Source organism: Homo sapiens, chromosome 2 (assembly GCF_000001405.40).
Source record: "Homo sapiens chromosome 2, GRCh38.p14 Primary Assembly".
NCBI lineage: Eukaryota > Metazoa > Chordata > Mammalia > Primates > Hominidae > Homo > Homo sapiens.
In genome coordinates this window covers 224,441,517-224,452,143 of record NC_000002.12, presented here as the reverse complement: position 1 = coordinate 224,452,143, position 10,627 = coordinate 224,441,517, and the positions used below count along the sequence as shown (strand labels likewise).

General features: G+C 43.9%; 1 annotated feature.

Moving 5' to 3' along the window:
• Nucleotides 9,513–9,572: a silencer, noted in NCBI's record as "silent region_12380". NCBI's record gives its function as "represses an Ori minimal core promoter by ATAC-STARR-seq in GM12878 lymphoblastoid cells {active_cell/tissue: GM12878}" and the evidence as "EXISTENCE:reporter gene assay evidence [ECO:0000049][PMID:35858748]".

The following is a 10,627-nucleotide window of genomic DNA, read 5'->3' as shown; positions in this document are numbered from 1 at the left end:
AATCTCATCATTCATAAATATAGAAACAGGAAAGGGGCTGCTTTATTTGGGGAAAAAATATTTCTCATGGTAGTGTTTCTCGAAGTGTCATTCATGAGCTACTTTTCTCAAAATTATCTGTGATGCTTGCTAAAAACACCCTGATGTCTGGACTTCTTCCCACACCACTGAATCAGAATCTCTGAATGGTGGGCCTGGGAATATTTAAATTTAACAATATCCACAAAGTATTCTATTGCACACTAAAATTTGAAAACACTGCCTTAGACAGCTATTAAAATTTGTATGTAAATGTCACGGATGGGCAGCATTTATACACGTTAGAGTTTGTATGTATATGTGATTTTTTTAAATGGTGGTATTTTTGAGTTATTGTCCCATATAATTATTTAGTTAGTTAGTTAGTTAGTTAGTTATGTTTTTTGAGATGGAGTCTCTCTGTGTTGCCCAGGCTGGAGTGCAGTGGCGCGATCTTGGCTCACTGCAACCTCTGCCTTCCGGGTTCAAGTGATTCTCCTGCCTCAGCCTCCCAAGTAGCTGGAACTACAGGCACGTGCCACCACCCCTGGCTAATTTTTGTGTTTTTGGTAGAGAGGAGGTTTCACCATGTTGGCCAGGCTCGTCTCCAACTCCTGACCTCAAGTGATCTGCCTGCCTTGGCCTCCTAAAGTGCTGGGATTATAGGCGTGACCCACTGTGCTCAGCCAAGGATTTGTGTATTAATATTTTATTTTAAATTTTATGATTGCTTTTAGACAATTATTTCATGTCATTAAACATATATGCAAATATGTATATATATATGTATTTGTGTGTATACATATGTGTATATATATATGCACACACACACACACACATATTCCTCAAGTTTCTTATGCTACCATAAAGTTTTGTCAGGAGCTTGAGTGGCTGTAAGAGGAACCAGATAAGAGAGAACAATAGTGTATTAAGGGAAGAGAGTGCGAAGGAGAGATGAGAACCAAGAAATCCATCTATGATGACTTTGAAAATGGAATTGGAGATCTGCCTGGGGATGCCACACTCCACTTCTTCACATTCATGTGAGACATGGGGAAGGCCAAGGGTTGAGAACAGGACGCCCTTCCCATGAGAAGAGCAGTCTGATTGTCTTGAGTGGCACAGTTAAGACCCAAAAATACAGTGGTTAAAAGAAATGGGCCGGGCGTGGTGGCTCACACCTGTAATCCCAGTACTTTGGGAGGCCAAGGCGGGTGGATCATGAGGTCAAGAGATCGAGGTAATCCTGGTCAACATGGTGAAACCCCGTCTCTACTAAAAATACAAAAATTAGCTGGATATGGTGGTACGCACCTGTAGTCCCAGCTACTCGTGAGGCTGAGGAAGGAGAATCGTTTGAACCCAGGAGGCAGAGGTTGCAGTGAGCTGAGATCCTGCCACTGCACCCCAGCCTGGTGACAGAGTGAGACTCCGTCTCAAAAAAAAAAAAAAAGAAAAAAGAAAGAAAGAAAGAAATGGAATGTTGGAGGGGACTGGCAGGTGGAAAATTTCAGACTTAACATGATAAGTAATAGGAAGCCACTGTAGCTTCCAAGTGAGGTATCTATCAGACAGGTCCTGGAAAACAACTAGATAAGTAAGTTTAAATCAACCAGGGGGAAAAAAGATTAAATGCCTTTTAACAATCATAATTAAAATTAATTAAAATATCCAAAGTAGAAATATAATTTGGATTTTTCCCAACCTCGACAAAATAAAATATTTGATTCTGGATAACCACTGGTACTTGCTACTTTCAGATAATTCATTCTTATTCTAATCATGCTCCCCAGTTAAAAATATAGCATATCAGGATTTGAATCTGATTTTAAGTTCTTAAACTTCAAGTTGACTGTATAAAAGCTAGAGAAAAAATACTTAATTAGTATAACATTTAATGTTTTATAGGAGAAAATTTTGCTCTACAAGTTCCCAAATAATATATACCACCAAAGTTTTTATTCAAAACACAGACAATAATACATGAATTCACTTGAAGAATAATATTCTCTCCCATTGGGTCTTGTCAGCAAATGTCTAATAGTAGTTTATAAAAAGAGCCCACTGTAGCATTGATTAGTTGTTACTATTTTTTTGGAAATTAAGAGTGGATCATGGAAAGAACATTAGTTATTAATTTACAAACTGAGCTTGGGGTGAGACCTCAGGGCAGGGGCACAACCTTTCTGTGTGTAACTTAAACAAGGTAGTTTGGGCCAAACTGATTGGTCCAATCAAGCTCTCCAATCAAATGTTCATATGTGTGTGTGTTTTGCCAACATTTTTTTTACCATTGGTTTTATGTGACTTGGCACATAAAACACTTGGCGCCATGTGTATGGTCATATACAGGGCATATTTGTCACTACACTGGCACCATGATCTATGGTCACATGGGGTCACCTGACACATTTATATAACCTGCCTAGCCTCTTACGGCATTTGAATCAGGCTACTGGAATAAGACCTACTTCACCTTCAAAAATTGTCATAAACTGGCACTCACTGAATCCACCAGGGGTCAGCACACCAAGCATTATCACCCCAATATTGATAGGAATTGAACAAAGAACAAAAATTTAGAAAGCTGAGAAAAGCCAAATATCCTTTGAAATGTGCATTTGCCCATAATTTTTTTTTTCCATTCAGGTCAGGCAAGTTGCCATATTTATGTTTGTTTTCAGCTGCTTCTGTCCTTCCCTCTGAGGACCAGGAACTCAGCAGTCATTAACCCTGATTTCAACTGAAGATGACTCCACAGGTTAACCTTTCAACTTATTTCCCTTGCACAAAACCCGTGGCAAATACAGATATCCCATAAAAAGGGAAAACTGTTATGAGAGAGTCTGGATGAAGAACAAAATAAATTATTTCATGGACCAGAAATTGATCGGAAATGCAATGCTATACAACAGCCAAAGCCACACGAAAACCCTCACTAAAATAATTATTGCAGAATATACTTCAGTAGGAAGGAAAATAAAAAACGTAGAGGAAAGATATGGAACGCAAAATAAGGAGGGGAATCACAGAAATTGATAAAGTATAAATGAATCTTTATAAACCATTGACTATAAAAATATTCTCAATTTTTATTTGTTGTGCTCTAAGAAGTACAAAACTAAAACTCTCTAGATAATAATAAATTGAAGAGGAAATGTAAATGTGAAGTTAATATGTGCTAAGGACTTTTTGCCGTTGTTCAGAACAAAAAAGTAAAATTACTAAGCATTTTGTATTATTTAGAAAAATATATGATGAATATGTATGTTGACAACTAAAGGTAAATAGTCAAAAAATGAAAACACTATAAGTAACTTCCAAAACAAAAGGGGGTAATATAGCAAGCTTCACTAATTCAATAAACTATTAAAAAAAGGAAAGAAAAGAAAGACAAATGAAGGTGAACAGAAAATCAAAACTAGGAGGGTAGAAATCATTTTAAATCAATCAATAATACAAAATTAGAAAATGGAGTAAGCTTGCTATAAAAAAGTAAGAGACTGTATGATTAAGTTTTTAAAAACTCTAGGCATAGTGCCTTGGTCTGTTCCAGCTGCTGTAACAAAGTACCATCAACTCTGTATAAACAGCAGAAATTTATTTCTCATAGTTCTGGAAGCTGGGAAGTCCATCATCAAGGCAACAGCAGACAGGTTTTCTAGTGACGGCTCACTTTGTGGTTCATAGATGGAGCCTTCTAGACATGTTCTCACATGGTAGGACAAGGCAGATCCCTGGAGCCTCTTTTATAAAGACATTGATTTCACTCTCATGACCTAATCACTGCTGAAAGGGCCTACCTCCTAATACCATCACATTGGTAATTAAATTTCAATATACAAATTGTGGGGGTATAACATTCAGACTATAGCATATAGTATTCTTTTTTTTTTTTTTTTTTTTTTGAGACAGAGTCTTGCTCTGTTGCTCAGGCTGGAGTGCAGTGGGAAGATCTCAGCTCACTGCAACCTCCGCCTCCTGGGTTCAAGCAGTTCTCCTGCCTCAGCTTCCCGAGTTGCTGGGATTACAGGCATGTGTCACCACCGGCTAATTTTTGTATTTTTAGTAGAGACGGGGTTTTACCACGTTGGCCAGGCTGGTCTCGAACTCCTGACCTCAGGTGATCCACTTGCCTCGGCCTCCCAAAGTGCTGGGATTACAGGCGTGAGCCGCTGCGCCTGGCCAGCATATAGCATTCTTATAGAAAATACACACAAAATGAAATCAATGAGATAAATTGAAACTAAAGGGATGGAGAAACTTGTCTCATGCAAACAGTAATCAGATAATAAACCTAAAAAGCTGGAATAGCAATATCGATTTTAGACAAAATATAATTTATATTATACTATATATAAATACATTAATTTTTACATAAAATATTATATAAATAAAAAAGGAAAGAACTTAAAAGTAAGAGAAACATATAGTACTCTTGAACTTATAGGCACCTGAAAGATGGACCATACTCATTTTCTGGTCACACTGAAACTAAATAATAAAAAAAGAAGGCCGGGCGCGGTGGCTTACACCTATAATCCCAGTACTTTGGGAGGCCAAGGCGAGCGGATCACCTGAGGTCAGGAGTTCGAGACCAGCCTGCCCAACATGGCGAAACCCCGTCTCTACTAAAAATACAAAAAAAAAATTAGCCAGGCGTGGTGGTGGGTGCCTGTAATCCCAGCTCCTCGGGAGGCTGAGGCAGGAGAACTGCTTGAACCCAGGAGGCGGAGGTTGCAGTGAGCTGAGATCTTCCCACTGCACTCCAGCCTGGGTGACAAGAGCGAAACTCCTCCTCAAAAAAAGAAAAAAAAAAAAAGAAAAAAAAAGAAACTAAATAAGAATTCAACAATAAAAAATACCAAAATGAGTAAATAAAAGTACTAATAAAATAAGTAATATACACACACATTTGGAAACTCTAAAATGTAATCCTGAATAATTTGTGGATTAATTTTAAAAAGATGGCACCATGGAAATGACAGCATATGTAAGACGAGAATACTAATAAATGTGTTACATACCAACATTTGTGGAATTCAGCAAAAAGTTATTAGAATTTCATTTTGTGGGAATAAATCCCAGTACTTTGCGAAGCCAAGGCAGGAGGATCACTTGAGGTCAAGAGTTCGAAACCAGCATGGCCAACATGGTGAAACCCTGTCTCTACTAAAAATACAAAAATTAGCCTGGTGTGGTGGCGCGTGCCTATAGTCCCAGTTATTTGGGAGTCTGAGGCAGGAGAATTGCTTGAACCCAGATGCAGAGGTTGGAGTGAGTCGAGGTGATTACACTGCACTCTAGTCTGGGCAACAGAGAGAGATTCCATCTCAGAAAAAAAAAAAAAAGAACAGGAGCAGAAAGTAACAAAGTATTAAAAAAAAGGAATGAGAATCAACAAAATCAAAAGCCGTTTTTTAATCTATAATAAGAAATAAGAAGAGGCAATATCTATTGATTTAGTAAGCATTTTTTAAACTACACATGAACATTTAAAACTTTGATAAAATATTTACTTTTCTTAAAAAATATATGAACTGCAGAAACTAATCCAAAACGACAAAGAAATTTTGAATAAACCCATAGCCATAACAGAAATTAAAGTAGCCCTCAAAAGGTTCTCCTAGCATTCTCTCTACCCCTTGAAAAAAGATTGTGTCTTCTAGACATGTTTAGAAACCAGGCCAGATGATTTTTACAGGGAAGGTCTTACCAAACTTTTGAGGATCATTTGTCCTATCGTTTTTTTCTTTTACTTTTTTTTTTAACTTTTTTTTTTCTCTGTCACCCAGGCTGAAATGCAGAGGCGCGATCTCGGCTTACTGCAATCTCCCCCTCCCGGGTTCAAGAGATTCTCCTGCCTCAGCCTCCTGAGTAGCTGGGACTACAGGTGCGTACCACCACGCCCGGCTAATGTTTTGTATTCTTAATAGAGACGGGGTTTCACTATATTAGCCAGGATGGTCTCGATCTCTTGACCTCGTGATCCACCCGCCTCGGCCTCCCAAAGTGCTGGGATTACAGACATGAGCCACCGCGCCCAGGCCATTTGTCTTATCTTAAACCGTTTCAGAGAAAAAAAGAGAGAGGAAGTTATCGAGCTAATTTTATGAAACTTATATAACCTTGATACCCAGACAGGACAAGGACAGCAGAAGAAGAGAAAGTCACAGGCAAATGCAAATAGAATTCAGCTTTATATATATCTAAGAGGCCAAAGCGGAACTTTTAAGGGATATTTTGACCTAGCCTCAGAATACTCCAATGTCTTCTCTTGGTCATGCACACCAGCTCTGACTCAGTACAGCAGTTGCCCACACCAGCATAACCGGGGGGCACATAGAGACTGGTACCCTTTTAAAAATTAAAAATCAGGCTGGGCGCGGTGGTTCATGCCTGTAATCCTAACACTTGGGGAGGCCAAGGTGGTGGATCACTTGAGCTCAGGAATTCGAGACCAGCCTGGCCAACATGGTGAAACCCCGTCTCGACTAAAAATACAAAAGTTAGCTGGGCATGGTGGTATGCACCTGTAATCCCAGCTTCTTGGGAGGCTGAGGCACGAGAATTGCTTGCAGCAGGGAGGTGGAGGCTGCAGTGAGTCAAGATTGCGCCACTGCACTCCAGCCTGGGTGACAGAGCGAGACTCCGTCTCAAAAAAAAAAAAATTAAAAATCTACATAGGTTATTAACTTCTCTAAGAAGTGCTACTGTAAACTGTTTGATTTTTTAAGTTAAACTTTCTATTTTGTGATAATTATAGACTCATATAAAAAACATAGTATGTATATAAACGTATAGGTATAATAAGGTAAACAATATAAGATATAATCATGCGCTGGGTGCCATGGCTTCGGCCCGTAAACCCATCGCTTTGAGAGGCTGAGGCAGGAGGATCACCTAAGAACAAGAGTTCAAGAGCAACCTGGGGATCCCCGTCTCTACAAAGTAAAGATAAAAAGTTAGCCAGGCATGGTGGCACACACCTGTAGTTCTAGCTACTCGGAAGGCTGAGATGGGAGGATTGCTTGAGCCCAGGAGTTTTAGGCTTCATTGAGATGTGATTGCGCCTCTGCACTCCAGCCTGGGCGACAGAGTGAGATCCTATCTCAAAAATAAATAAATAAATAAATAAATAAATAAATAAATAAATAAATAAAAGAGAGATCCTGTTTACCCTTCATCCAGTTCCTCCAATGGTAACATCATGCAAGACTATAGTGGATTATCAAAACCAGATATTAACCTTGATACAGCCAAGATACACAACCGCTCTAAGACTGCAAGCAACCCTCATGTTACCCTGTTTACTTTTTTTTAAGTCCCATATTTGTTTAATCCGCATGTGTTTGACCATGGAATCCTTTTATTCACCCAAAATCTACTGAATCCTACAGAGCACACTTGGGAAAATGCTGTTTTCAGTCTTTAGTTGATGGGACTATTAAGCCCAGTGTTCATGGCATGTTAGGATCAGGCAACCCTTTGTAAAAACATCTTTTGAACTTTTTGAGTGTTCCATCTGTAAGGGAACATCTGATTTGCTTCTTGAGGTGCAACAGAGGAAGCCCGATCACAACTGGTCTGGCTTCCCTCTCTTCAGGTGTGGGTGGCTCATCTCTTTTGCAGGCAAGGTTGGACGGTACCCTCCAGCCCCCAGGTCTAGGCACAGGTCTTAAGGGAGCGCTGGGGGAAGCCTTACTAGGGGCTTCTGGAACTGGGTGGGAGGGAGTCAGAAATTCTTAGTCCCTTTCGACTCCTAAGATTCCATGATTCTGGCTTCGGTTCGTGCCTTGGGGTTCTCTCACTTCCCACATCTTGCATCTTTCAACATATCACAGCACTTTGAAAGCCAGGCTGGATGGTCCTGTCTTTACCACATGATGTCACTCTAAGAAAATTAGTAACCCCCACTGGGCATGGCTGTGGCTTTTATATGCTGAAGATATCTGAGACTTGGCCTATAAAACAAGCAACTTATCAAGTTAACTGTCTTCAATTCGGTGCACATTTAACTTAAGACCATCTCATAGGCATGACAGCTACCAGGCTGTGGCTGAGATCCCACCCCTCCTGGGGAAAGACTTTTGGGACGGGGAGGAGAACAACCCAAGGATTAGAGGGCATCTCTGGATCAAACCTTCAGGAGAGCAAATGGAAGGAAGGAAGGAATGGCTAGAAACTGGAACTTCCACGATTGACTTTTTAAAGCAAGTTTTATTACTTTTTCTTAAATACTTTTCAGGAGTAATGTTCCTTTTGGAAAACCCTGGCTGGCCTCAACTGCTAAGGGAAAACTGACATCTGTTCTCCCATCTCCTGGGTGGGTGGGAAAAGTGGCAGGAGTCTGGCATGGTGGTATCTGCTGAACAGATCCCAGAGGGAGGAGGATGGGGTAGGAAACAGAAGAGACCTGCCTGTCAGGAACACGTGACAGCTCGTGGAGTGCAGAGCTGTGGCCGAGAGGCGAATCTCTCACTTGGGGCTGGAGTGTGAGCCGTGTGCATTTATGTGAGGGTGCAAGCAGCAAAACCGTTGCAACTTCCTGATGCTCAGGGAGGAAGGGAAGAATGAAAAAATTAAAAAATGAAGCCTGGAGGGGCCAGGCGCGGTGGCTCACGTCTGTAATCCCAGCACTTTGGGAGGCCGAGGCAGGCGGATCACAAGGTCAGGAGATCGAGACCATCCTGGCTAACACGGTGAAACCCCGTCTCTACTAAAAATACAAAAAATTAGCCGGGCGCGGTGGCGGGCACCTGTAGTCTCAGCTACTCGGGAGGCTGCGGCAGGAAAATGGCGTGAACCCGGGAGACGGAGCTTGCAGTGAGCCGAGATCGCGCCACTGCACTCCAGCCTGGGCGACAGAGCCAGACTCCGTCTCAAAAAAAAAAATGAAGCCTGGAGCTCTTCAGTGTTCATTTGTTTTTAGTTTTTAGAGCGGGGAGAGAGGCTGTGAACTGCAAAACAGTTCAGGGAAGTGGGTTTGCGGCGAGAGGGGTAACGGGCGCCAGGTAGGCCGGCCGCTTCTCTGAGGGTCTCTTCATGGCACCTGCTAGTTGCTGAACCCACCTGGGCGCAGTTCTCCGAGCAGGTGGAAGGAGTGCGAAAGACAAGCCTCAAAGGGAGGAACCCGTGCGGGAGCCGACAGCTTTGGACGTCATTGTGCCGGCTATGAGGAGCCACAGTTGTTAGAGGAGGGAAGAGTCAGCCACAGCCGGTTCGCTTAATGAGATGGTGGAGGGCGTGCTTCCTGAGCTTAGTGAGAGAATAATTACTATGAAAAGGAGAAAGGCCGGCCAGCTTTAAACACTAAGCTCCGCCTAGAGGGAGGCCCAGTTTCGTCCTTCGCGCTCCCCTCCTCCAGGAAGCTTTCCGGGATAGTGCCTTTTCCCTGCGGACCCCATCAGAACCGGATGGACCAGGTCCCCAGGCAGCCTCGGCTCGGCGCGTCCTCGGTCTTGGCCCTCGGGGCCCCGCGAAGGCCCGGGGGACGTGGTGCCCGCAGCCGGGCGGGGATCCTGGCAGTGTCAGGGGGTGACTCCGGCGGGGCGCGAGGGCTAGGGCGCGGCAGAGGTGTCGCGGGTTCGAGTCCTGCGGGGACCGGGCAGGAGCAGCTCGTGGAGCGCAGAGCTGTGGCCGAGAGGCGAATCCAGCCAGCCCTGTGTCCCCGGGGATTCCCCCGCGGCGTTACACGTGGCACCGGCCGGCGGGGAGGTGGAGGGGCGCGGTGGGGCGGGGGTCCGGGTCCCGGGGCGAGTGCGGAAGCAGCGGGACTCGGCCGCGCCGCCGGCCCGGGGTCCGGGCGATGGGACGCGCGGTTCCCCTCCTGCAGGCGCCCGGAGAGGTGGGGCTGGACACCGGCTCTGGGGGGTCTGCGTCCTCCCGGGTTGGCGGGGGGCGGCGCGGGACGCTACGCTTCGGCGTCCTTCCTCTCCCTCGCTGGCTCTGGGCCTGAGTTCTCTGGTTTTGTTTCATTGCCCTCTGTTAGTCTGGTTCCTGAATCCTGAGTTAGGCTTCACATTTTGAATTCCTCCCAAATCCATGTCCCTTGAGCTCAAAGCCGTTTGTCCCATCTTTCACAGCACACAGCAGTCACTTTGCATCCTACACAAACAAAAAGTCATGGAAACTATATTTTTTCTTTTTTTTTTTCTCTCTCTCTTTCTTTCTTTCCTTTTTACGAGTATCGCCCTGTCGCCCAGGCTGGGGTGCAGTGGCGCGATCTCGGCTCACTGCAACCTCAGCCTCCTGGGCTTAAGCGATTCTCCTGCCTCAGCCTCCCGAGTATCTGGGATTACAGGCACGCACCACTAGGCCTGGCTAATTTTTTGTACTTTTTTTAGTAGGGACGGGGGGTTTCACTATGTTGGTCAGGCTGGTCTTGAACTCCTGACCTCAGTTGATCCACCCGCTCAAGCCTCCCAAAGTGCTGGGATTATAGGCGTGAGCCACCGCACCTGACTGAAACTGTCTTCTTTTACTCTCTAGTACCCCAGTCCTTACCCCTCCCCCATGTCCATCATGAAAAGATCCAGTGATGGGTGAGACAGCGGGTTCTCTAAGTGGGTTCTCAAACTGGAACAGTCGGTCCCACAGTCTCCTGAGG